Raw genomic sequence first — 25,350 nt, 5'->3', positions numbered from 1 at the left:
AATGTAAGGTTAAGTGCTGCCCCCAAGCCTGAGTGGCTGATCATTATACAGAGTACACGAAGATCACCAAAAACGTCACCACAGAGGCCCCCTGCCGCTGGTTCTCATTTGCCCATATCAAAAAATATGCAAGTCTGTTCATACAAAGACACACACAGATGCTCGTAGCAAAACTATTCATAATTATCAAAAGGTGGCAACAACGCAAATGCCCATCAACAGCAGATGAATAAGCAAACAAGTACAGTCCACCCGTGTGATGGAACATTAATCAGCCACAATATGGAATGAAGGGCTGATTCATGCTACAACCTGGATACACCTTGAAACCATTAGGCTAAGTGAGAGAAGCCAGACAAATATTAGATGATTATATATATATTATACACATATATATATATATATATATATATATATATATATATATGCCCAGAATATGAAAATCCAAAGAAACAGAAAGTAGATTAATGGTTGCCAGGAGCCAGGGGTGGGGATAGTCGGGGGAAATAAGGGGTGACTGCTAATGGATACAGGGTTTCTTCTGGGGTAATTAAAATTTCTAAAATTGATGGTGATGATGGCTGCAAAACTCTGAGAATATATTAAAAACCACTGAATTATGCACTTTATTTATTTATTTAGAGAGAGGGTCTGGCTCTGTTGCCCAGGCTGGAGTGCAGTGGTGCAATCTCTACTCACTGCACTCTCCACCTCCCAGGCTCAAACCATCCTCCCACTTCATCCTCCTCAGTAGCTGGGACTACAGACACACACCACCATGCCCAGCTAATTTTTTTGTATTTTTGGTCAAGACAGGGTTTTGCCATGTTGCTCGGGTTCATCTCAAACTCTTGGGTTCAAGCTATCCTCCCACCTCAGCCTCCCAAAGTGCTGGGATTACAAGTGTGAGCCACCATGCCCGGCCAAATGATACACTTTAAATGGGCAAATTGTATGGTATGTGAATTATCTTTCAATAAAGCTGTTATTAAAAAGCAGCTTTAAGGGCCAGGCATAAGGGCCATGCCTGTAATCCCAGAACTTTGAGAGGCCAAGGCAGGAGGATCACTTGAGCCCAGGAGTTCAAGACCAGCCTAGACAACATGGCAAAACCTGGTCTCTACAAAAAATTTAAAAATTAGGCTTGGCGTGGTGGCTCACGCCTGTAATCCCAGCACTTTGGGAAGCTGAGGTAGGTAGATCACTTGAGGTCAGGAGTTCAAGACCAGGCTGGCCAACATGGTGAAACCCTGTCGCTAATAAAAATATTTTTTAAAAATTAGCCAGGCATGGTGGTGGGTGCCGAGGCTGAGGCAGAAGAATGGTTTGAACCCGAGAGGTGGAGGTTGCAGTGAGACGAGATTACGCCACTGCACTCCAACCTGCTGGGTGACAGAGCGAAACTCCATTTCAAAAAAAAAAAAAAAAAAATTAATAATTAAAAATTAGCCAGGGGTGGTGGCTCCTGTTTGCAGTCCCAGCTACTCAGGAGGCTAAAGTGAGAGGATTGCTTGGGCCCAGGAGGTTGAGGCTGCAGCGAGCCAAGATTGTGTCACTGCACTCTGGCCTCAGCAACAGAACAAGACCCTGTTTCACAATTTTAAAAACAATTAAAAAACAAGCCTAAAGAAAACACAAAAACCAATGCTAACTGTGAGACATAAATGAGGTGGTCTATTTTTTGTTAACTACCAACTAACAATTCATGGCAGAAACAAAGTTTAAATGATGCTATAGCCGGGCGCTGTGGCTTATGCCAGTAATCCCAACACTTTGGGAGGCTGAGGCGGGTGGATCACCTGAAGTCAGGAGTTTGAGACCAGCCGGGTCAACATGGTGAAACTCCATCTCTACTAAAAGTACAAAAATTAGCCGGGCGTGGTGGCGGGTGCCTATAATCCCAGCTACTCGGGAGGCTTAGGCGGGAGAATCGCGTGAACCCCGGGGGGGCAGAGGTTGCAGTGAGCCAAGATCGCGCCATTGCACTCCAGCCTGGGCGACAGAGCGAAACTCCGTCTCAAAAAATAAATAAATAATGAAATAAATGATGCTATAAACCTCATGTGAGGGAAGACTGTCCCAGGTACAGCTTGAAGAACCCTGGCTGTGAATAAGAGCCAAATGCGATAATTCTGTTTGCAACTTGCTTGTTAGCTTGTTGCAACTCCACAGTGTAACAGGTATGAGAAAACTCATGGGGTTACTGTTTAGTGTTGGTGGAAATATTCACATTAAAATACAACAGTTTATCACCTAAGGTATATTTTATCCCTCAAGTGGCCCGGAACACTGTGATTACTGCACACCAATCGCATGCCCATAGCTAAGGCCTTGCCAAGGAGAAATTCCACAGTCACCTGGCCTATTTGTAAACCTGGTTTATGATGTTTTGTAACTGGATATCTTGACAGTAGCATGAGGACATTTAACGAGACAAGAACATTTCCCACTGACCAACCAGACAGTTTGAGGGAACAGGATGCTGTGCTCAGTTTAATCTTCTGCTGAACCGACCATTAGGCAGAAAATCCTTTGGGTCAATGCCTGTCACTGAATCCACTTCTCATCCTGTCCACCTGCCTGCTTTGCAGTGCAGAGTAAAGTGGGCCTTCCTTGGCTCTCTTCAGGGACCAATGTGCTTGAGGCCATCATGAGGACATTCATTCTTTTTTTTTTTTTTTTTTTTTTTTTTTTTTTGAGAGAGTCTCGCTCTGTCGCCCAGGCTGGAATGCAGTGGTGTGATCTCAGCTCCCCACTGCAACCTCTGCCTCCCAGGTTCAAGTGATTCTCCTGCCTCAGCCTCCTGAGTAGCTGGGATTACAGGCACGTGTCACCAGGCCCAGCTAATTTTTCTATTTTCTGTAGAGACAGCGTTTCACCATGTTGGCCATGCTGGTGTCAAACTCGTGACTTCAAGTGATCCACCTGCCTCGGCCTCCCAAAGCGCTGGTATTACAGGTGTGAGCCAATGTGCCTGGCCAAGGGCTTTCATTCTTCATGGACTGCTCCATAGCCTCAGAGACAGTCAGACTGGTTTCTTCAACCAGAGCGGAGCAGACAGGCAATTTCTCCATCCACCAGGCCAAATATTAGACCAACTCTTCAATGTACAGAGAACATCACATTTCTTATATGGTAGAATACCTGTTGGTCTAAAATATAAATAAATAGTATTGTAGCCAGCCACAGTGGCTCATGCCTATAATTTCAGAGCTTTGTGGGGCTGAGGCAGGAGGTTCACTTGAGGTCAAGAGTTTGAGACCAGCCTGGGCAACATAGCAAAACCGCCCGCCCCTCACCGCCACCTGCCATCTCTACAAAAATTAAAATAATTAGCTGGGCATGGTATTGTGGGCCTCTAGTCCCAACTACTTGGGAAGCTGATGTGGGTGGATTGCTTGAGCCCAGGAATTTGAGGCTGCAGTGGGCTGTGACTGCATCACTGTACTCCAGCTAGACCTTCTCTCAAAAAAAAAAAAAAAAGTGTTGCAACTGACATTACTTTATCATTTGAAAAGAAGGACAGACAAGAAAGGTATTTGGTATTTACCAAGCAATTACCCAGAATCCTCATCCCATCCTACACCCACCCTTCCCCTAAAAATATATGTATATGTTTGTATAACATAAAAAATACATCTATTTGGCTCTGGAACCAGATTGCTTGGGTTCAATTACCTGATCTAGCATTTGCTCCTGATGACTCAGTGCAGACAAGCTCTGTAACTCAGTTTCCCCAGCTGTAAAATGGGGAATGGCGCCTTTACTGGGCTGTCATGAGGGTAAAGGAGGTAACATATATTTATAAAGCATTCAGAACAATTCATGATACATAGTAAGCTCTATATATTTGAGCTTATTATTACTGTCAGTACGATTATCATCATCGTGCTGTTTCCAATGGGTACGCTTTCTACATTCTCTTTCTTAAAGACCTTTAAATCCTTGGTATTCTCTCCACCACCACAGAGAGCAGTGTCCTTGTAGTTTAAATTTTCAAAGACTTCATGGATCCAATAAGCATGACATTAACTAAGGGACAGTTTTCTTTCAGTGGCTTGGAATCTAAAAAGGCTTTTTTATTGTTATTATTGGCCAGGCTGGTCTCGAACTCCTGACTTCAAGTGATCCCCCCACCTCACCCTCCCAAAGTGTGCTGAGATTACAGGCATGAGCCACCACGCCCGGCCCTCATTCTCTTCTTTTATAAGGACACCAGTCATTGTATCTGCCCCCTCACCAGCAGCCCCCAATCCAGGATGACTCATTGTCACTTGATTACATCTAGAAAGACCCTATTTCCAAATAAGGTCACATTCCTGGGTACTGAGGATTAAGATTTCAAATTTTTTCCCTGACTCAATTTTTTTTTTGAGTCAGGGCCTCACCCTGTCACCCAGGCTGGAGTACAGTTATGTGATTATAGCTCACTGCAGCCTCAAACTCCTGGGCTCAAGGGATCCCCTGACCTCAGCCTTCCAAGTGGCTGAGAATACAGGTGCACACCATCATGCCCAACTAATTTTTTTTTTTTTTTGTACAGGTTAGGTCTCACTCTGTTGACCAGGCTGGTCTGACCTCAATCGATTCTCTTGTCTTGGCCTCCCAAGGCAGTGGGATTACAGGCGTTATCCCATGCCTGACCCTCTTTCTACATCTCAATCATTGTATCATTAGCCTGAGCTGCCCATATTCCTTATTCTGCCCATCCCTGATCAATCTCCTCCTTTAACAGAACTTCCATCTCGATATCATGGGGCCTGCTGGGCACTGCAAACAGCCTAAGGAAAGTGGAAATTTTACTTCACCTGAAATTATATTACAAATTCCACATTGAACTTAATTTATATTTGAACTATAAAAATTTTCTGTAAGTTGAAACATGACCTATAAAGGTCTCTACACCCTGAAGCAACGTTTTAGAAAGAAATCAATTGGTCCTTTTCTGCAGAAACCATTAACCATAGGAGAGATAAAGGAAAAACTTCAATGCACTGATTGAACTTCCATGCCCATAGCTTAACTTCTAAAAGGTAACCATTCCATACTGTTAAACTGCCTTAGGTTGTCATTACTGTTCTTAAAGAGACCCTCAAAGCCAGCAGTTGAATCTTGACTGTAGCACTTGCACGTACACGCACACTCTTGCAACTGAAACCACTCAGATTGTCCTAATGCTGCTCCCCATAGCAACACCACCTGGAATTTTACATTTGTTTTTAAGCATCAGTCGTAATCTTCACTTGCACCCAAACACACCGCACCTGTGAGAGCCACGTGACATTAAAAAAATCCCTTCAGTGAGGCCGGGCGTGGTGGCTCAAGCCTGTAATCCCAGCCCTTTGGGAGGCCAAGGCAGGTGGATCATGATGTCAAGAGATTGAGACCATCCTGGCCAACGTGGTAAAACCCTGTCTCTACTAAAAATACAAAAATTAGCTGGGCCTGGTGACGCGTGCCTGTAGTCCCAGCTACTCGAGAGGCTGAGGCAGGAGGATCCCTTGAGCCCGGGAGGCAGAGGTTGCCGTGAGCTGAGATTGCGCCACTGCACTCCAGCCTGGCGACAGAGGGATACTGTCTGAAACAAAAAAATCCCTTCAGTGCCTTGATCCTTCCAGATTCAGATCCAAGAGAGATGACATTTGTCCCTCACCAGACACTGCACACCAAGATAAAGATTTCTTCTGGCCAGGCGCGGTGGGTCACGCCTGTAATCCCAGCACTTTGGGAGGCAGAGGTGGGTGGATCACCTGAGGTCAGGAATTTGAGACCAGCCTGGCCAAGGTGTTCAAACCCTGTCTCTACTAAAAATACAAAAGTGGCCCGGCAGGGTGGCTCACGCCTGTAATCCCAGCTCCTCGGGAGGCTGAGGCAGGAGAATCGCTTGAACCTGGGAGGTGGAGGTTGCAGTGAGCCGAGATCGCGCCATTGCACTCCAGCCTGGGCAACTAGAGAGCAAAACTCCGTCTCCAGAAAAAAAGAAAAAAAGATTTCTTCTGTGTGCATGGCTCAGCTCTGTGGTCCACTAGCGTCCTTCCTCAATCTGCTTCCAATCTGTGGACTCAGGAAAGACTGAACCAACCTAGATTTATTAATATTTTAGTATAACATAATACAGTGTTACTTACTATGGCATTGACCGTATATGCCCTTTTGCTCCTTGGAGGAAAGACAATAGCTATTATGTGAGTTAATAAAATAAGCCCAGGATTTATCAGTATAACTAACCTGTTCCCGTTGGTTTTTCTTGTCTCCTTCAGGCAGAGAGCTGATCAAAACAGCAAAAGCAAAGCAGTGCCCCTGGCCCAGTTCTGAAGCCAACCTTCCTTAATCACCCAGACCCATCCCTGGTTAGGACTTGCTGTGGATTCTCAGGTGACTCCATCTCAGGATACAGGGACTGAGAAGGTGTATGCAACATCTCAGACCCAGAAACCGTTGATTCTGTCTAAAAACACAGCAATAACCACATCCCATCCTCTTGATTTAAATGAAAGTGTTTGGAGGAATAAAAGATGAACCTTTTTTTTTCTTTGTCAGATCTTGCGCTCATTTGGTTCTGGTGGGGAACAACAGCTATAAGAGAACAAGTGTATTCAATTAGAATTAATTCCCCTCTCTTATTCTCATAGCTGAGCAGGGCTCAAGTGCCTCTCATCTGAAAGAGGTAATAAGATTTTATCTGTCTCCTCATCTACCTTTTGCAAGTATACTTAACAAATTAGCTCTCGGGACTCTTCCAAATGGAGTTTGATGAGGAATTTGCTAAGGTAAACGTTTTAGACTTTGAACACAGTTCAGATTTCAGGGGCAGTACTGAAATCTAAGCTGTGTTGCTAACTGCCCTGCCTTTCAACTCAAGACACAATAACTTTGAACTAAAATAATTATATTTTTGTTGTTTTCCACTCTGTCCCCACGTCTATATCACCACCACCCCCAATCCCACCCCGCAGGAGTTAACTCCTCCTTCCTGTCCCTGCAAGATCAAAACTCCTCCTGCAAGCCCCGCTAGCTCTGTCTGCTCACCTTCGTGGTAGATATCGCTATCGTACTTTTATCCTCATTTGTGTGATAAGTACTTCAATGTCCACTTCTTCCACGAGCACCTGAGCCCCTGAAGGGCCTGGACCACACCTAGTTTTTCTCACCGTTACATCTCCCTTGTCAGGCACATGGTAGGCGCTTAAAAAGTATTTGATGAACGAATGGCTTGTTTGGTGACAGTCCAAAGGCTGGGGGACAGAGGGAAAGCTCCCTCCTTTCGGGCCCCAGACGGGTGGCGCTGATGGAGAGGAGGCTAGGATAAGGCCTCCAGGACCGAAGCATGCACCCGTAAGGCCCCTGCTGAAAAGACCTTCCTGAAGGCGGAGGAACTGCGAGAGTGCCTACGTTAGCCCAAGGCCTGACCCGACGATCCCAGGGACAGTCGCCCTAACTGGCCCCGCCTCCCGGGCCCCAAACCTGGACTCGGCCCCGCACGAAGCTCCGGATCCTGGGGCCCGCCCCTGGCCCCGCGTCGGAAGACCATGGGCTCGCTCTTGGGCCTGCCTCAAACCCTCCGCAGGTAACGCCTCCCGAACTTGAGCCACATTCCGATCCCCTCCTCAAACCCCTCCCCGTTTCCCACACCCTGGACCCCTCGCTCCGTCTCGGCCCCGCCCCAAGCCCAGCTAGGTCTCGGCCCCTGAGCCCAGCCCCAACCGGCCTCCCAGTCCCTGGGTCCCTCCCAACACCGGCCCCTCCCTAAGCTCCGCCTCCCAGGGCCCGCCTCCTGAGCGCAGCCCAGCCCGGACTCGGCCCCGCCTCCCGGGCCCTGGGCCCCTCCCCAAGTGGGCCCGTCCTAAGCTTCGCCTCCCAGAGTCCGCGCACCGCCTGGCCATGTGCTACGACATAGTCAACGCCCCGCCCCTGCCCCGCCTCCTGAGCCCTTCTCTGGGCCTGGCCTTAGCCCCGCCCTAAGACCTGTCTCCTGGGCTCTGCTCTGGGTCCCGCCTCCTGAATCCAATGGCGTTTATCCGCGCCCTAATGCCCGCCTCCAGGACTCTTATCCTGCCCCCACGCAAGGCATCGCCTCCAGGACGCCACCAACCTGGACGCTTCCGAAGCCCAGCTTCCAGGATCGCCCTATCCTGGCCCTGCCCCAGGAACCGCCAACCTGGACTCTACCCAGGACCTGCCCCGATGTCGCTTATCTTGGCCCTACCCCAGGCCCCGCCCTCCTAACGCTCATCTTGGCCCCGCCCTAGAGTCCGCCCCCAGGACGCACCTCCTGACCCTATCCCCAGGCCCCGCCCCCTCTCTGCCCCCGCGCACTGCCCTCGGCCCGCCCCCTCTTCAGTCCAGGCCCGGCTTCCTCCAGGTCTCCCGGCAACGGCTGCGGCCTCGCCCACGTTATGGCGCCCGAGGAGAACGCGGGGACCGAACTCTTGCTGCAGGGTTTTGAGCGCCGCTTCCTGGCGGTGCGCACACTGCGCTCCTTCCCCTGGCAGGTGGGCGGCGGGGCGAGCGGAGAGGCCCGCGGGGGTCGCGGGAGTCCAGGGGCAGACGGGATGGGTCTCCGTGCTGAAACCCCCGGCGCTCCGGCCACGTGAGTTCCTGGGCTCTCCTCGGTCAGGGCCGCGAGACCCGGTCCCCGTCCCTGGGGCCTGGCCAGAGTCGCTCGCACCCCTTCTGCCCCGCGAGCTGGCGGCGGAAGCTGGGGGCGTCTCCACCGCCTTAGGGGGTAGACGCGCGCTCGGTGTGGGGTACGGTTCACGATCATTTTCACGACTTTTTAAAGGCAGTAATCGTTCTGGTCACTGGGACACAGCTGCACTCGCCCATTCTAAAAAGTCAGCGCCCTCAGGCCCGCGGGTAACCACCTCCTCCTGAGCGTGGTGACCAGGTCACAGGCTGTCCCTCGTGCCTCAGTGTTCTCATCTGTATGTCGAGCACTGCACAGAATCGGCTCATGCGCTGAGGCTTTCACGCCTGTGATGGAAGAGACAGAGAAGGGGGTGGCCTCTCCTCTCCCTGGGGACCTGCCATTCTCAGCACAGGCACATGGCAGGCAGCAGCCTCCCTTCTGCCAGCAGAGGGGCTTAATGCACCCCGTTCCATTTGTAATTCATGTGCATTGAGCTCACTGGATGAGTCAGTTGGGATATATATTCCTCCCTGGGTCTGCCCCATTTTATGGGGTGTTGCTTAATCATTTGCATTATTCCATTGACATAAAATATTTAGCACTCAGAGATCATTTCTGGTCAGGAGAAATGTGTGCATTTTTAACCCAAAATAGAAACCTTCATAAAAGCATCATAGGTCTCCATTCAATATTGACTATAATTGTTCACATGCCCACACTGAATGCTAACTTGGGCTCACCCTCAACACCCACCAGGTGGGTACTATTATTATCACTCACATTTGACCAGAGGGATTGTTTGATTAGGGTGAAGTAGTTGAGAGTTCAGACCCAGGAGACAGCCTGCCTGCTTCGAATCCTGGCCCAACCCCTGGCCCTGTGTGACCTTGGGCAAGTGACTGTATCTCTCTGTGCTATTGTTTTCTTATTAATAAAATGGGGGATATAATGATACCTACCTCTTAGGGTTGTTCTCAGCATTGAGTACAAATGCCTGCGGATCAGTGCCTGGCTCATGGTAAATGCGTGTCGGTGTTAGCTAGTGTTTTCTTCAGTCTCAAAATGTTTAATAAATGCCTTCCGTGAGCCAGGCACCATGGATCGGCAGTACCCATGATAGATGAGGCTCTGCTTGCATGGGAGAGCCAGAGAATAAATGAATAAACAAGAAAAGACCAGATGAGAGTGGCTTTAAAGCCAATAAAACAGGGAAATGGTGAATGGAGCAACTGGGGAGAAGTGTCACCAAAGTCAGGGAATCAGGGAAGCCTTCCCCAAAGAGGTGGCATTTGAACTGGGGCCTGAGTGGTGAAGCAGCCAGCCATGGGAAGGGTTTGGGGAACAAGATATGCAAAGGCCCTGTTGTGGAAATAAGCCAGCTGTGGTTGAGGAACAACAGCAAGGCAGCCAGTGTGGCTGGAGTGGAGTGAGCAGGGTGGGCCAGTGGTGAGGGAGAACAGGCCAGAGAGGGGGATTAGCAGCAGGCCTTGTAGGGCCTTTTATGGCATAGAAGGAGCTCTGAAGCAATGAAGTGCCTTGCCATGTGTCACATACCAGCCGAGACAGTCTGCCTAACTCGGGAGCCAAAGCTCACTGCTGGGCTTGAGGCCCCTGTAAGAGGACAATGTAACCCAGGCTGGTATGGGCACATTCTGCATTTCCACTTAAACTCAGATGGCAAGCCCATCAAACCTTGGTGCCATGGCTGCCCTGGTAATTCCTGGCTGACCAGTGTAACCAGGGAGCTGGCCCATGACCTGGGTGGCAGCTGAGTAGCCAGGACTAATGCGACCAAGAGTCAGCCTTCTTCCTGTGACTCATCCAGGTGCACCCTGCGACATCTGAAGGTCAGGCTTTCAGCCGCTGTGGCTTCCACTTCCAACTGGCTCCACGTCCCCAGGGAGGGATCACATAGAGCTTTGCCAACACATTCTATTGCGTGTTTAATGTTCCTGTGAATGGGCCCTTGAGATTTCTCTCTCTCCCATCCACACAGAGCTTAGAGGCAAAGTTAAGAGACTCATCAGATTCTGAGCTGCTGCGGGATATTTTGCAGAAGGTAAGAATCCCAGAGTCCCTGGGACTCATGATCCTGCCTCCTGAATCTCTCCGGAAGACCTGAGAGAAGCAGCACAGGTGTGCTTGTACCCTTTAAAAACAGCCCTCTTCAAAGAACAAAACCATTGAGTCAGCACTTCAGAAGGGTGTCAGCACCTCCGACAGCTCCTACGGTTTCGTTTTCTATGTAAGACTTAGAAAAGACATCAGAATATACAAAATTCTGCAAGAGGGGGGAAATCTAGGGAATGTTTTTTAAACCATCCACAGCAAAAACAGAGATGACAGGTGCAAAACAGCTTCTAGCATTTGGTAGATGCTCAGAGACTTTCTTTTTTGCATTCATGAGGCCTGTCCCGCCCACTCCTGTCTCTTCTAGACCTAAATGGGCCCTTGCTTTGCCCAGGGTGGGGTTTGGACTCAAGTGCATCTGCATGCAAGTGAGAGCCAGGATCACCACCTGGCCCAGCCACAGGCTGACCTTGGCATTGAGGGCCAAGTGCAGATCACCCTGCATCCTGGGTCTTCACCTTCAAAGGGCCATGAGCCCTTCTGAAAAGACAAAGCAATAGACTCCCTCCCAGAAAGAAGTGCACCAGAATACATTTTCCATACAAACTCAGGGGAGGCAGACATCCTCCACGCCCACCCACCCAGCCCATCCTAGGAGCCCCGGTGAAGAATTCCTGTGCTAGAGATGAACCAAGATTATCCACGTGGAAAAGATGCAGCACAGCAGGGAAGACTTTCGGGGCAATACAGTAGGTCAGGGCTTCGAGCATGGAGATACCTGAAGTTATCTCGCACCTTGCTCTGAGTTTCACCCTGAGCCTCACTCTCATAGGTGGTGAAGCATGAGATGTAGGGAGAGCTGCTTTAAAACCCAGCACAAGGCTGGTTGTACTGGCTCACACCTGTAATCCCAGGTCTTTGGGAGGCTGAGGTGGACGGATCACCTAAGGTCAGGAGTTCAAGACCAGCCTAGCCAACATGGCAAAAACCCATCTCTACTAAAAATAAAAAAAAATTAGCTGGGTGTGGTGGTGCACGCCTATAGTCCCAGCTACTCGGGAGGCTGAGGCAGGAGAATCGCTTGAACCCAGGAGGTGGAGGCTGCAGTGAGCCAAGATCGGGCCACTGCACTCCAGCCTGGGCAACAGAGCGAGACTCTGGGTCAGAACAAATGAAAAACCAGCACCAGCATGAAGAGCCTGTGTATTGCCTGGGGTACTTTGCTGCCCTTGGGCAGAATCTGCATCCCTCCCAGCCAGCAGGCGCTGCGGACGGTCTCCTCCCTCTCCCTCCAGGCTCCTGTTTTCCCGCCGTCCCCACTCCTGCTGCACCAGTCCCTCTGCCCTCCGTTCCAAGTGCCAGCCCGTGGCCACCTCAGAGCTTGCACAGGCTGTTCCCACTGCCTGGAACTTGCTCATCCTGCACTTGGCTTCTCTCAGCTTTAGTTGGAGTCACCCTGAGCTTCCCCTCCCCTCCATCCTGTCCCCAGGGACACACGCTCCCAGAGAGCAGTTGCTGAGTGGGCCTTCCCGCCTCTTCCATAAAGCCAGATAGTTGGCGACTGACCTTACTGCAAACCCTGGTTCACACTGGCTCCCCTGGGAGGGAGGTGGTTTGGGCCCACATGCCCTGTGTTCCTGCTCAGAATGGGCATTAGAAATGCTGCCATAGCCTGTGCCACTGCAGTGGAAGCATTTTTAGGAAACGGCTTATATCTTAAGACAAACTTCAGATGCATGGGGCCAGAACGCTGTGTCCATCTGCATCTTTGCTGAGGGATCGGGTAGCCTGGAGTTTGCCCTCTGCTGTGTTGGCTTGAAGCTCATAGGAGACTTAAGACGGGCTCTCAAGCAACCAACGTTCTGTCCTTTGCCGTAGACTGTGAGGCATCCTGTGTGTGTGAAGCACCCGCCGTCAGTCAAGTATGCCTGGTGCTTTCTCTCAGAACTCATCAAAAAGGTCAGTTATAGGCAGTGTCCGCCCAGTAGCTGGACAGCATAGCCACCGGCGTGCTGCACACTCCGTCCTTCCCAGGCCCTGGGCCTGCTTTGCAAACCCCAGCATGGCAGGGCCCTCCCCAGGCAACTGGCTGCAGCTGAGTGTGACCCATGGGAGACAGTGCAGGGTGGGAATAAGGGGAGGCCAGCATCTCTCCCTGAGTCTGCCCTCTGGGGTTTCCACAGCAGCTGCTTCTCTGGGGCCTCAGCTCCTAGCATATGGATTCTCATTCCTACCAGGCTGGACCAGCCCACAGCACTGGAACCATCACCCACACCCTCTGTCCTGCCCACCAAAGGGTTTGGAGTTTCCTGCTCTTGTCCGTCTCTGGGTTGCCCCACGGACCCCTGTTGGAAGTTTTAGCTCTTGCCATACCTTTGGAACTAGTTCCTCTGGTGAATTCTCTGCATTGATCCTGCTGGAATGAGCTCTTTCCTGACTGATATAGGATGGATTTTATTTTTTACTTATTTATTTATTTATTTATTTATTTATTTATTTATTTATATATTTTTTTTGAGACAGAGTCTCACTATGTTGCCCAGGCTGGATTACTGTGGCACAATCTCGGCTCACTGAAACCTCTGCCTCCTGGGTTCAAGCAGTTCTCGTGCCTAGCCTGCTAAGAAGCTGGGACTACAGGCACATGCCACCATGTCTGGTTAGTTTTTGTATTTTTAGTAGAGACAGAGTTTCACCATGTTGGCCAGGCTCATCTCGAACTCCTGACCTCAGGTGATCCGTCTGCCTCGGCCTCCCAAAGTGCTGGGATTACAGGCATGAGCCACCGCACCTGGCCTAGGATGGATTTTAAAGATGGGCCCGAACATGCAGGGTTTGACATGAGGATGTCGAGAGGCCATTCCTTAGTAGGCAGTAGCAGACCTGCTGAGTGAAAGGGCCACACTTTTAACAAATAAACAATCCCCTGCTTCTCCAATACCTGCTTTCTCCCTAGTTCTCCCCAAAAGGGTGCATCTCTGGTCACCAGCAGGTCTGCCCTGTGCCACCACGAGAGGGCAGCAGTCACCCAGTGTACCCTGCTGCTGCCCTGTGAATCCTAGGACTGGGCCAGCTGTGGAGAAGCAGCCTGCTGACAGCCACAGCCTGCAGCATGGGCCGCCCTCACAGTTCTGCCTGGGCTCACTTAAAAGCACCTTTTGTTTTCCTCCTCTCTGTGTTTGATCCAAACACAGAGCTCTCTGTCATGGTCATGTGGCAGCTCTCACGGAATCCTTGTCTCCTGCCCTAGACTACACCTAACCCTACCCTCTCAACACCTCTTGTTGAAGGCCCTCCCATCCAGGTTTCCCTACCAAGTGGAATAATTTTTTTTTTAGAGACAAGATCTCTGTTGCCCAGGCTGTCCTCGAACTCCTGGGCTCAAGCAGTCCTCCCACGTCAGCCTTTAGAGTAGCTGGAACTATTCGACACACACCACCACGCCCAACGAAGTGAGTATTTTATATACCAGCTGGCCGGTATTACACCATTCCATCCCAAATCTCCCCTCCAAACTTGGTGAAAATCATCTGGCCATTTTTACAGATTAGAACGAAAGCAAACAAGCTCTCACTCTGTCTGCCCCCAGCACGAGGCTGTCCACACGGAGCCTTTGGACAAACTGTACGAGGTGCTCGCGGAGACTCTGATGGCCAAGGAGTCCACCCAGGGCCACCGGAGCTATTTGCTGGTATGAGAAAGGCACCCTCCTCCCCCTCACAGCCCAGATACCCTTCCTGCACAGACAAAGTGAAAACGTGGGTGTGGGTTCAAATCCTGACTCACCCATTCTGCAGTCTTAGACATGAGGTCCATTAACCTTCTTTAGCCTCAGTTTCCCTGTCTGTAAATCAAGCACTTCAACAACAACAGCATGTCTCGTGGGGTTGTTGGGCATTTGTCCAATAGGTGACACACACTACCTGCTTCACAAGGACCTGGTGCCCAGTCCTCAAAGAATACTTGACAGGGCTGGACATGGTCTCTCATGCCTGTAATCCCAGCACTTTGGGAGGCCAAGGCGGGTGGATCTGAGGTCAGGAGTTCGAGACCAGCCTGGCCAATATGGTGAAACCCTGTCTCTACTAAAAATACAAAAATTAGGCCAGGCGTGGTGGCTCATGTCTGTAATCCCAGCACATTGGGAGGCTGAGGCAAGGGGATCACCTGAGGTCAGGAGTTTGAGACCAGCTTGGCCAACATGGTGAAAATCCATCTTTACTAAAAATACAAAAATTAACGGGGTGTGGTAGTGGGCGCCTGTAATCCCAGTTACTCGGGAGGCTGAGGCAGGAGAATCTCTTGAACCCGGGAGGTGGAGGTTGTAGTGAGCCGAGATCGTGCTATTGCACTCCGGCCTCGGCAACGAGAGTGAATCTGTGTCTCAAAAAAAAGTACAAAAATTAGCTAGACATGGTGGCACACGCCTGTAGTCACAGCTACCTGGGCAGGTGAGGCAGGAGAATTGCTTGAACCCAGGAGGCAGATGTTGCAGTAAGCCAAGATCGTGCCACTGACTCCAGCCTGGGTGACAGAGCTCAAAAAAAAAAAAATGAGATAAAACATAGATACAGAAAACCACAAAGGAAAAACATAGCATATTGAATCATCACAAGGCAGCCACCTCTTCATAGCCACACCTGGCCCCTGGCCACCACTGACCTGTGCTCCATCGCCAGAATTCCGTTGTCTCAGGAATGTTCAATAGATGGAATCCTGTGTGGCCTGAGATGAGTGTCTTTCATGCCGCGTGACACCCTTGAGGCCCGTGCAACTGTTGGTATGTCAACAGTTAGCTGCTTCTCATTGCTGAGTGGCGATTGGTCCTGTCATGGTTTATTCAGCCATGTGGTGGATGGCTACTTGTCTTCTAAGCCACTTGCCTTCTGATCGCTGGACTGACTCTCTCGCCCTCTCTTGGTGCAGTCCTCAGGAGGCTCAGTCACACTCTCCAAGAGCACAGCCATCATCTCCCACGGTACCACAGGCCTGGTCACATGGGATGCCGCCCTCTACCTTGCAGAATGGGCCATCGAGAACCCGGCAGCCTTCATTAACAGGTGACCTTGGGGCACAGGGCAGGGCACCGAGGCAGGCTTACCCTGGTGCAGTCGAAAACACGGTCCCCTTTCCTCCCGCCAGGACTGTCCTAGAGCTTGGCAGTGGTGCCGGCCTCACAGGCCTTGCCATCTGCAAGATGTGCCGCCCCCGGGCATACATCTTCAGCGACCCTCACAGCCGGATCCTCGAGCAGCTCCGAGGGAATGTCCTTCTCAATGGCCTCTCATTAGAGGCAGACATCACTGGCAACTTAGACAGCCCCAGGGTGACAGTGGCCCAGCTGGACTGGGACGTAGCAATGGTCCATCAGCTCTCTGCCTTCCAGCCAGATGTTGTCATTGCAGCAGGTAATGCCCAGCCCCGGGCATCCTGTGCAGGCGGTGTCCTTGCAGCTCTACCCAGCTCTTGGCTCTGGGAAAAGGGAACAATGGACACTGTCGGGCATGGACGTGATGGGGCTTCCAGAAGAGTTACTCTGGGCCTCCAGGGTGACATCAAAGGACAGGGGTGCCTCTTAAGGTGACCTTCAAGCCACAGCCCTGTTGTTGGAGACAGGCATACTCCCGTTACAGTCGTCACCACATGGCTCTGTCCCAGAGCCATGCCCTGTGTCCTTCAGAGACCGCAGGAGGAAAACAACCACTTCTGGTACGAGGTCAGGGCCCTTGAGAGAAGGTGCTGTTTGGCTGGGCCACCGAAAACCCCTCACCCCTGTGAGCACACTCAGTCCCCTCTCTGGTGGAACAGAACTCTGCCTGTAGTCCTGGGTCCCAGCCCTGAAACCCACAGGTCCAGCGGTGGCCAGGGACACAGGCCCACCCCTGCAAGCCAGCAGACCAATCGGCAGACACCTGAAACACGAAGTTCACGGCAGGGTCAGGCTTTCTGTCATTGAAAGCCCTCTAGACAGGCCGAGAACCAGAGCTGGTTTTTTAAGGACACCAGTGAGTCTGGAGATTTTTTTCTTTTGCTTCGGTCTTTTGCAGCTTTCTCTAATAAGGGTTCTCCTTTTTCACCCAAATAATTGCCTTTCCATCTAATGGCCCAAATGGTCAAATGGCATCTAATAGTCTCATATGACCGCTGCCTCTCTGGCCTCGCCCTGCTGCTGAGGTCAGCATGAACTGGAACTTTCCACTTGTCCCTTTCAGTAACCTGAAACTTTCACCGTAGACGTGCTGTATTGCCCAGAAGCCATCGTGTCGCTGGTCGGGGTCCTGCAGAGGCTGGCTGCCTGCCGGGAGCACAAGCGGGCTCCTGAGGTCTACGTGGCCTTTACCGTCCGCAACCCAGAGACATGCCAGCTGTTCACCACCGAGCTAGGTGAACCCCCACGCCCACCCGGGCCTACATGGTGCCCGAGCTGTCCCTGCAGGACTCCAGTGGAAGTGAAAGAACTGGGCGCTGGGGAAAAGCTAGGATGCTCCACACTCCCACACTATGCGGGGAACTCGGGCAGAGGCCGGTGAGCAGGGTGGGCTCGGGGCGTGGGGGGCTTGAGGCAGGAGGAGGACACCTCAGCACAGGGAGGGAGGGTCTGAGCCCAGCAGCCCTACTATGTGCTTCAGAGCAGGGTTCCCTAAGCCCTTGGGCCTCGGTTTCCTCATCTATAAAATGGAGGTGGCGAGAGCGGCAGTCGGGGTCAGGGCTGGACACAGCTGTGGACTGCAGGACGCTGGAGCACAGGCTGTACAGGCGGATCCACCACGCCACTGTCCTGAGCACCCAGTTGATGGAAGACGAGCAGGGTGACTATAGAGAAGGGAAACTGGCCCCGTAGTGGGCCAGCCACTGTCCTCAGACCTGACATTTGTCAACCCCCAGCACCTGTGAGGGTGTGCTGTCATTGTCCCATCTCACCGACAAAGACACTAGGACACACAGAGGCCAAGTGACCCCCGAGCTCCCGCAGACTGCAGCCCGGCCACCTGGCTCTCGTGCCTCCACACTACACCCAAGCCCCCCATTGCCACCAGCCTCTGCCCCAGCTCCCCCTGAGCACAGCCCCTCCTGGCAGCCATGTGCACAGATGTACCCGCAGCAGCCTCTGCCTGTACACAGAGACATGGATGACCCAGTGCCTGTCCACGTGGGGCAGCCCATTAACTACAGAGTCAACAAACAAGCCAGCACATGAAGGCATACTGGGTTCCATGACAGAGTCCCACACAACCTCGCACAGGAGGCTGGCCGGGCGCGGGGCTCAGGCCTGTCATCCCAGCACTTTAGGAAGCTAAAGCAGGAGGACTACTTGACCCCAAGTGTTCAAGACCAACTTGGGCCACATAGTGGGACCCCATCTTCACAAAACATACAGAAACTAGCCAGATGTGGTTGCACACACCTGTAGTCCCAGCTACTCGGGAGGCTGAGGTGGGAGGATGGCTTCAGCCCATGAGGTGGAGGCTGCAGTGAGCCCTGATCTCACCACTGCACTCCAGCGTGGGTAACAGAGCAAGACCCTGTCTCAAAAAAGCAAAAAAGCAAAAAAAAAAAAAAAAAAAAAAAAAAGGAAGTCTTTCTTCAGATACTTACGTGAAAAAAAACCTGCAATATCTTTTAAGTGAAAAAAACAGTGCCAAGCAGCACACATAGTATAAGCCTCAACCAACCTTTTTTTTTTTTTGAGACAGAGTCTGGCTGTGCCCGGCCACTTTCTAAGCTTTGTGAAGAGTGAGTTGACTGAGCAGCCAGGGAGATGTGGGTTCAGATCTCTGCTTCTGTCCTGCTGTGCCAAGTGCTGGGGCAGACGCAGGCACAGAGTGGACAGCGGCATGGTGCCTGCTGCTAGCCATTTCTATGCAAAACCAGATTTCTGGTCCCATCCTGGAGGCGAATTCTAGGTATGTGGGTGGGCCTCCGAACCTGTGAACCAAGTAAACTGACTTAGACACCCCCCACCCCGCCAGGCCTGTCCTAGCAGCCCCACACAAAACGCTCATGTCCTGTCCCCAAACACCGCCATCCTCAAACACGTGCTTTGTTTCCAGGCCGGGATGGGATCAGATGGGAAGCGGAAGCTCATCATGACCAGAAACTGTTTCCCTATGGAGAGCACTTGGAGATGGCAATGCTGAACCTCACACTGTAGGACTCACACATGACTCCAAAGGGATTGTGAGAATCAAGTCACTCTCGTGGGAAGAATTTTTATATGGGAAAGTGGATAAAACTTTCATTGGACTGGAATGTTTGGAGATTATTAAACTCCAAATCAGGAATCAAAACTGCCCTCTAATAAGACATTAGCTGTCTAGGCGTGTGGGTGCCCCCTTTCTGCCAGCAGTTCTGGTTCTCAAGAAAATCATCATAAATCAGACATGAAAATTCTAGCTCCAAAAATAGCATTTTCTTTCTGCAAATAAAAACGTGTGTATCAAGGATGACGTTCCCCCAACGTGGACACACTCAGTTCCTCAGAAAGCCAAGCCCGCTGCAGCTGCCACATCCCTGGACACACTCGGTTCCTCACAAAGCCAAGCCCGCTGCAGCTGCCACATCCCTGGACACACTCGGTTCCTCACAAAGCCAAGCCCGCTGCAGCTGCCACATCCCTGGACACACTCGGTTCCTCACAAAGCCAAGCCCGCTGCAGCTGCCACATCCCAGGGCTTATGGTGCAGCAGGCGCTTTTTTCAAGACAGGAATGAAAGTGTTAGGAACACGGCAGAAAGGTGACACCTGGAGACCAAATGCAGGATGAGGAGTACTGCAGAGGTCACAGGGAAGTCACAGAACAGTAATACGCTAGCAGGGGCATGGGGCATGAAGAACAGAAGACAGGAAGCATTTCAGAGACTCCAAAGAAGAAATCAGGGCCAACCACAGCTTCCCGGGTCATTCACCAGGTGACACCACTGCCGTCATTTCAGCTTCTGGCCACTGGGAGGCGCTGCTCGAAAGGCTTTGCCCTGAGACCCCAAGAAGCTGCGGGAAGGACAGCAGGGGCCCTGGGGTTTTAGCCTCTGGCCCAGGAGTTATGTGTCCATAACCAAAGGGAGCACAGTCTGCACCCAGCTCTCATCCCATCAGAGCTGCTGAGACTCTTGCAGGTTCTTCCAGAACTGGTTTAGCTTGCCTGCAGGATCAGAAAAGTTTGAGAAAAGCATCTGCAAAATGCTAAAGAGCAGAGCTTAACTCATTGCCTGTCCCCACCCCATCCCAGGTCACCACTTGGCTGACCCCAGGTCCCCGACCCAACAACAACCCCTCCCAAGTCCCTAACTCCCTCACTTGGACTTGAGACCCTTCACAACCCAGCAGCGCTCCACCTCCAACTTGACATCATGCTTTCTGGAAACTTCCCCGTATGTCCCACTTTCCCACACTTGGTGCCCTGGAGCACCTTCCGGCCTCTACATGCTGTACGTTCCCCTGTGAGCACCCTCCTCTCGGCCTCTGGCCAACACAGTCCCACCCATCTGTGGGTAACAAGGGGGTGTGGGTGTTCTTTTCAGCCTTGCTAAACTGTCTGAATCAAGGATCACAAACTACAGCCTGCAGGCCAAATCCAGCCCACAGCCTGTGTTTGTAAATAAAGCTTTGTTGGAACAAAGCCACACCCCTTAATCTACAGATGATCTGTGGCTACTTTCACACCACAACAGAGTACCATGGTTCTGACAGAGACTGGGGTACCCTGTCTAAATGACTTCTGACCTGGACATTTACTGAAAATCCTCCCAATCATTCTGTTGACAAGAATGATGTATTACTTTTTGCAATAAGAAACAAGTAACCTTTGCAGAATTCCACCCATCTTTCAAGGCTGGTCCCAGAAGTTCCCTTTGCCCACGCACCTACCTGATCCGATCACTTCCTAAACTGCAGCCCGGCCCACCCGGCTCCAGCATCATTTATGGAGTGTCAGCTCCATAAATCCAGAGGGCAGGTGGGGTTGTGTCCTAACTTTCCCGAGCCTACTGTACCGAAATGGGACAGCAGAGTAGGAGGCCTCTGTGACTTCTGCTCCCCCACTAGCTTTTCCACCAGACCCCCCATGGTCCCACCCTGGCTGTGGGAAGCAGGGATCAGGGAGCGTGGCTCAATGCCAGTCTCCAGAACCCTGCCCACCCTGGCGTGGTGGCAGACATGGCTACCTGCAGCTGAGCTGCCAGTTCCTCTGACTCCTCAAAGATCAGGCCATTTTCTACATGTTTCACCAGCTCATGTAAACTGCAGACAGAACCAAGGGAGCCTGAGAGCTGCCTGGGGAAGACACCAGACTCCTGGGGTGCCCAGCTGGGATCCCACCCACCCCACGCTCAAGCCAGGCTGGGGTTTGGAACAGGGGGTGTGGTTTCTGGGAGCTGGTTCTTAGATTTGGCATCTGAAGGGTATAAAGGCCTGGGGGGGTGCACATCAAAATGACCAAACCGATTTGAGGAGGGAGCCTTAAGGAAGGTTTGTACCTTCTGTGCTGGATGCTCTTCAAGTACTGAAGAATTACTTTTGCATGTTTTTCTTAATTCCATGGCCATGGAACAAGTAAAGGCAACCCCCTGGGGACTGGTTCAGCACATAAAAGATGACTTTTCTAGGACACCAGATTTGATCCCCACATTCCCTGAGCTCAGCTCACACGAGGGGCTCGCATCCCTGAATCCCATCCAGGAGCCGGCTGCTGAGCAGGGGCCAAGGGCTCAACTTGTGCTGGGGCTACTGCTTCTAGAATCTCCTCTAACGCCACCCTTCCAAACACCCGTCTATGCTGGGTGGAGTGAGGCCACAGCATGACACTCATTTAACTCATTCAAACCCACCATGTGAGCTTGGCCAAAAGGGACATGGTGGGAGAGAAAAACAAAGAAAACCATGTAAGCCTGCAGGCATTTCCCGCCAATTCTACTCTAGGAGCAAAAGCCCCGAGTGGAGTTCTAGTATTTAAGGTGCTTTATTTTTTTTTCATATTGGGTTGGTGCAAAAGTAATTTTCAGTTTTAATGGCAAAAACCGTGATTACTTTTGTACCAACCTAAATATAGCATGAGCTCTAAATGGAAGCACCTACTTCAGTGAGGCTCAGCCCAGCCACAGTAACCGCAGGGCTCCTCCTCATGGCCTCCAGTGTGTGCTGGACTGACCAAGGGGCAGGGCCTCACTTTGGGCAGCTCACTCTGCACTGCTTCCCCGTCAGCGGTGGATCTGTGAAGCTATCCCCAGAAAGATTCGGGTTCTGCTCCTACCACTTGAAGTTCACGGCACACGCAGGCAAACAGCACCTGAACATGTCCACCAACTTCATGGGCAGGTCCAGGCCACTGGAGGATGTGTCCAGAGAGACACCCAGGTCCACCAACCCTGCTAGGCAAGAGGGGTGGGGCAGAGTGCTGGTCTCTGCCCTGGGAACACAAATCCTCCCAGCACAGTGAGACAACATCCCCCGAGGGGAGTGAAAATTGGATAAGGCCCCCGACAGCCCCAAGCACAAGTGGCTTAAGCTGGCCAAGCAGCCACACGGCCTGGCTGGGACATCTGAAAATGTAAGTTGACACTTCTACGTAACCACAATTTGTTTTTTTGTTGTTGTTGTTTGTTTTGTTTTGAGACAGAGTCTCACTCTGTCACCCAGGCTGGAGTGCAGTGGCACAATCTCAGCTCCCTGCAACCTCCACCTCCCAGGTTCACCTCCCGCCTGTAATCCCAGCATTTTGGGAGGCCAAGGCGGGTGGATCACCTGAGGTCAGGAGTTCAAGACCAGCCTGGCCAACATGGTGAATCCCCATCTCTACTAAAAATAAATACAAAATTAGCGATGCTAATCCGTGGCATGTGCCTGTAATCCCAGCTACTCAGGCGGCTGAGGCAGGAGAATCGCTTGAACCTGGGAAGGCAGAGGTTGCGGTGAGCGAAGATCGCGCCATTGCACTCCAGCCTGGTCTACAAGAGCGAAACTCCGTCTCAAAATAATAATAATGATAATAATAATAATAATAATAAACCATAACACACCCACCACAAACCAGCTGTCAGTGTGAAAATAAAGCCAAATAGCTTAACATTTCTAAAGACTACCTGGGGCCAGGCATGATGGGTCACGCCTGGAATCCCAGCACTTAGGGAGGCCAAGGCGAGAGGATCACTTGAGGTCAGGAGTTCAAGACCAGCCTGGACAACATGGTGAAACCCTGTCTCTACTAAAAATACAAAAATAAGCCAGCTGTTGTGGTGGACTCCTGTAATCCTGTAATCTACTTGGGAGGCTGAGGTGGGTGAATCGCTTGAACCCAGGAGGCGGAGGTTGCATGAACTGAGATCGTGCACTCCAGCCTGGGCAACGGAGCAAGACTGTCTAAAACAAAGACTAGCTGGAGAATCCTGCCAGGAAAAGGCCCTCAGACTCCAACTGCTCTGCTCACTCGAAGCTGGAAGATGCAGCTCTAGAGACGTATCAGGACCAAGCCATGACTCCCCACTTGGAGAAATCAATGGGGAAAGAGACGGAGGCAAAGGAGAACCATCTCACTGGGAGAGGCGATGCTGTTTGACACATCGTCCCTGTTCCTCCCAAAGCCACTGCCCTCCCCCACCTGGGCAACAGTGGCCCCAAACCCAGGCCCAGCCCTCCTGGAGGAAGGAAGAGGATGCAATGGAGGGCGTGGCAGACTGAAAGGACGTGGCCTCCTCAAACCCCTTGGTAAAGGGCCTCTGGGGCGACCTGGCAGGGAGGGGCTGGCACACCAGGAAGTAGCCTCCTCCCGGGAGTTCAGCCAGAGCCCAGGTCCTGTCCCCAAGTGGCCTCCAGAGCCACCTTTTCAGAAAAAGTACATCATGCCCACCCCTGCTCCCCCTGCTTAAGGCCCCGCCTCCTCCCTGAGCCTCCTGCTGGCCTCTCACCTAGAAGCGGGGGTAGTCCTTGGCCCTGCAGTCAGGGGGTGCAGACCTGGATCTGCTGGAAATGCTTCTGGTGGATGAGGCGGCTGTAATACTCCCTCAGAGGCTTTTTGCCTTCACAGAGAAGAGCAGACACTGCCATGGACCCGTCTCTGTCCCTGCCACGTGGCCCCAGGCCCAAGACACTCCCCCTAGGAGGGATCCTTTCCCCAGAAGCTCCACCCCTCTGCAGCTCCAGTCAGGTCCCATCTGTGCCCTTCCAGAAGCAACCCAGGAGCCCCGAGACCTGCAGGGATGTGTGCACCCTGACCCCTGACGCCTAGTCCTGCACCTGCAGCCAGCTGGCCTCGGGCTGCAAACATGGCGGGGTAAGCACTGGCCTGGCACCCGACCGCCCACTGGGTGGACCCAGCCTTCTGTCTGTGTTGTGCGCAGGGGACACGAGGACTCCCCCTGCCCTGGCACAGCCCCCAGAGCACATGGCGCAGGTTCCAAGCTGCCCCTGCCTTGCCACAGCCCCCAGAGCACATGGTGCGGGTTCCAAGCCGCGCCTGCCTTGCCACAGCCTCCAGAGCACATGGCGCAGGTTCGAAACCACTCCTGGGAGCCTAGAGGCCAAAGGAGGGAGGAGAGCAGGACCAGCAGCTGGCCCAGACCCCGCCTCTTCCCACACCACTTCCGCTTTTCTCCCTCCTCACTGACTCACCTTGAAAGGGCTCAGCAGCCGTAACTGAGGGACAGGGGCTCTTCCGTTTGAAAAATTAAAAGAGGCTTGGTTAAGGCACCAATGACATGACCGGGCCCAATGGCTCATATCAATAATTCCAGCATATTGGGAGGCCAAGGCGGGTGGATCACCTGAGGTCAGGAGTTCAAGACCAGCCTGGCCAACATGGCAAAACCGTGTTTCTACTAAAAATACAAAAATAAGTTGGGTGTGGTGGGCACCTGTAGTCCCAGCCACTCGGGAGGTTGAGGCATGAGAATTGTTGAATGTGAGACGTCGAGGTTGCAGTGAGCTGAGATCACACCACTGCACCTCAGCCTGGGCACAGAGATTTTGTCTCAAAAAAAAAAAAAAAAAAAAAAAGACACCAACGAAGAAACAAGAAAAATAAAAGATGCTTGGAAACTACTGAAAAATTAGAAAGTTTGGTATCTACAGATTCACATCTGGGCTCCCTGCCCTGCTGTGAAACTCTCTGAGCCTCAGTTTCCCACATGTAAAGCAGTATAAGACTCTATGGCAGAGAACTGCAGTGAGGATTAAGGAGACAAGATCGTGGCAAGCACAGGGTAAAGGCGACGTACCCCTCCCTGGACTCCAATACCTGGAGTCGCAAGACGAGCTGAAAAAGGAGCCAGGCACTGCAGGACAAAGCGGTGTTGACTTTGTTCATCTGTGTTTCCCAGTGCGGTCCAATTGACGGTGGTTTCCAAGCGCCTCCTGGAGGAGAAAACACATGAGGGTGTGGTCAGGGTTCTCTGCTGACAGACCTACCGTGGGGAAGAAAGAGAAACTCTGAAGATGGATCATGGCCATGACTGCATGTCAAGGAGAATCTCCTTGAAGACACTGAGGCCTACGTCGAGGTAGAGTAAATATGGTCCAATTAAAAGGTGTCTATTTTACCACATTTTTTAAAACAAAACAAAACACAAAAACAAAAAAGATGGAAAAAAAGACAGGGGTACAGGCACCAGTGTTACATGTCTGACGGGGAACATCTATTCTTCAAAGCTTGCAGCTGTACACGT

General features: G+C 51.7%; 1 protein-coding gene, 1 long non-coding RNA gene and 2 pseudogenes across 6 annotated transcripts in view, besides 9 other annotated features; 2 read left to right on the top strand and 2 right to left on the bottom strand.

The window, feature by feature from the left end:
* FAM86B2-DT (FAM86B2 divergent transcript) overlaps positions 1–7,727 on the bottom strand; it is a 129,833-nt gene extending 122,106 nt beyond the window's left edge. The window contains exons 1-3 of one of the 2 annotated variants that reach the window (NR_040092.1): positions 7,030–7,727; positions 6,229–6,576; positions 3,679–3,740 (exon numbers count right to left, since the gene is read on the bottom strand). This is a non-coding gene — a long non-coding RNA (FAM86B2 divergent transcript). Of the gene's footprint in view, positions 1–3,678; positions 3,772–6,228; positions 6,577–7,029 lie in introns of both variants that reach the window. The other variant, NR_040091.1, reaches the window with a different exon arrangement.
* Positions 3–7,085, top strand: DEFB109E (defensin beta 109E (pseudogene); annotated as a pseudogene).
* Positions 7,704–7,863: a silencer, noted in NCBI's record as "silent region_18947". NCBI's record gives its function as "represses an Ori minimal core promoter by ATAC-STARR-seq in GM12878 lymphoblastoid cells {active_cell/tissue: GM12878}" and the evidence as "EXISTENCE:reporter gene assay evidence [ECO:0000049][PMID:35858748]".
* Positions 7,704–8,724: a biological region, named in NCBI's record as "Sharpr-MPRA regulatory regions 5244/11724 and 13137".
* Positions 7,726–8,020: an enhancer, noted in NCBI's record as "tiled regions #5244 and #11724 (exact overlaps); K562 Activating DNase matched - State 9:DNaseU, and HepG2 Activating DNase unmatched - State 23:Low". NCBI's record gives its function as "activates a minimal TATA promoter and a strong SV40 promoter by Sharpr-MPRA in K562 cells, with weaker activation in HepG2 cells {active_cell/tissue: HepG2 | K562}" and the evidence as "EXISTENCE:reporter gene assay evidence [ECO:0000049][PMID:27701403]".
* Positions 7,934–7,993: a silencer, noted in NCBI's record as "silent region_18946". NCBI's record gives its function as "represses an Ori minimal core promoter by ATAC-STARR-seq in GM12878 lymphoblastoid cells {active_cell/tissue: GM12878}" and the evidence as "EXISTENCE:reporter gene assay evidence [ECO:0000049][PMID:35858748]".
* Positions 7,986–8,280: an enhancer, noted in NCBI's record as "tiled region #13137; K562 Activating DNase matched - State 9:DNaseU". NCBI's record gives its function as "activates a minimal TATA promoter and a strong SV40 promoter by Sharpr-MPRA in K562 cells {active_cell/tissue: K562}" and the evidence as "EXISTENCE:reporter gene assay evidence [ECO:0000049][PMID:27701403]".
* Positions 8,082–8,724: an enhancer, noted in NCBI's record as "H3K27ac hESC enhancer chr8:12293525-12294167 (GRCh37/hg19 assembly coordinates)". NCBI's record gives its function as "activates a minimal SCP1, AML or CMV promoter by ChIP-STARR-seq in naive H9 embryonic stem cells {active_cell/tissue: H9 hESC(naive)}" and the evidence as "EXISTENCE:reporter gene assay evidence [ECO:0000049][PMID:30033119]".
* FAM86B2 (family with sequence similarity 86 member B2) lies at positions 8,340–20,319 on the top strand. 4 transcript variants are annotated; one of them, NM_001137610.3, is made up of 8 exons: positions 8,340–8,492; positions 10,626–10,688; positions 12,578–12,658; positions 14,289–14,390; positions 15,626–15,759; positions 15,842–16,107; positions 16,934–17,083; positions 18,751–20,319. In NM_001137610.3, exons 1-8 carry the CDS (start codon positions 8,397–8,399, stop codon positions 18,849–18,851), a joined length of 993 nt encoding a protein of 330 aa, NP_001131082.1. In that variant the 5' UTR covers positions 8,340–8,396; the 3' UTR covers positions 18,852–20,319. The 4 variants fall into 4 exon arrangements, 1 of the variants encoding a protein (NP_001131082.1); NR_148878.2 differs by lacking the exon at positions 15,842–16,107 and having other exon boundaries at positions 8,340–8,590; NR_148876.2 differs by lacking the exons at positions 14,289–14,390; positions 15,842–16,107.
* Positions 8,725–9,368: an enhancer, noted in NCBI's record as "H3K27ac hESC enhancer chr8:12292881-12293524 (GRCh37/hg19 assembly coordinates)". NCBI's record gives its function as "activates a minimal SCP1, AML or CMV promoter by ChIP-STARR-seq in naive H9 embryonic stem cells {active_cell/tissue: H9 hESC(naive)}" and the evidence as "EXISTENCE:reporter gene assay evidence [ECO:0000049][PMID:30033119]".
* Positions 17,863–18,507: an enhancer, noted in NCBI's record as "H3K4me1 hESC enhancer chr8:12283742-12284386 (GRCh37/hg19 assembly coordinates)". NCBI's record gives its function as "activates a minimal SCP1, AML or CMV promoter by ChIP-STARR-seq in naive H9 embryonic stem cells {active_cell/tissue: H9 hESC(naive)}" and the evidence as "EXISTENCE:reporter gene assay evidence [ECO:0000049][PMID:30033119]".
* On the bottom strand, positions 18,401–23,721 carry ALG1L12P (ALG1 like 12, pseudogene; annotated as a pseudogene).
* Positions 23,724–24,561: an enhancer, noted in NCBI's record as "H3K27ac-H3K4me1 hESC enhancer chr8:12277688-12278525 (GRCh37/hg19 assembly coordinates)". NCBI's record gives its function as "activates a minimal SCP1, AML or CMV promoter by ChIP-STARR-seq in primed H9 embryonic stem cells {active_cell/tissue: H9 hESC(primed)}" and the evidence as "EXISTENCE:reporter gene assay evidence [ECO:0000049][PMID:30033119]".

The sequence above is a fragment of the Homo sapiens genome, chromosome 8 (genome assembly GCF_000001405.40).
Source record: "Homo sapiens chromosome 8, GRCh38.p14 Primary Assembly".
NCBI lineage: Eukaryota > Metazoa > Chordata > Mammalia > Primates > Hominidae > Homo > Homo sapiens.
Note: the sequence above shows the minus strand (reverse complement) of the source record. Positions and strands in the feature narration are given on the sequence as shown.

What these genes read in the sequence shown, in the direction of transcription:
- FAM86B2 (NM_001137610.3), top strand. Translation starts at nt 8,397, where the DNA reads ATGGCGCCCGAGGAGAACGCGGGGACCGAACTCTTGCTGCAGGGTTTT. An exon ending in GCCACCGGAGCTATTTGCTG is followed by an intron (nt 14,391 to 15,625) that starts GTATGAGAAAGG and finishes CTCTTGGTGCAG; the next exon opens with TCCTCAGGAGGCTCAGTCAC. An exon ending in CCGGCAGCCTTCATTAACAG is followed by an intron (nt 15,760 to 15,841) that starts GTGACCTTGGGG and finishes TCCTCCCGCCAG; the next exon opens with GACTGTCCTAGAGCTTGGCA.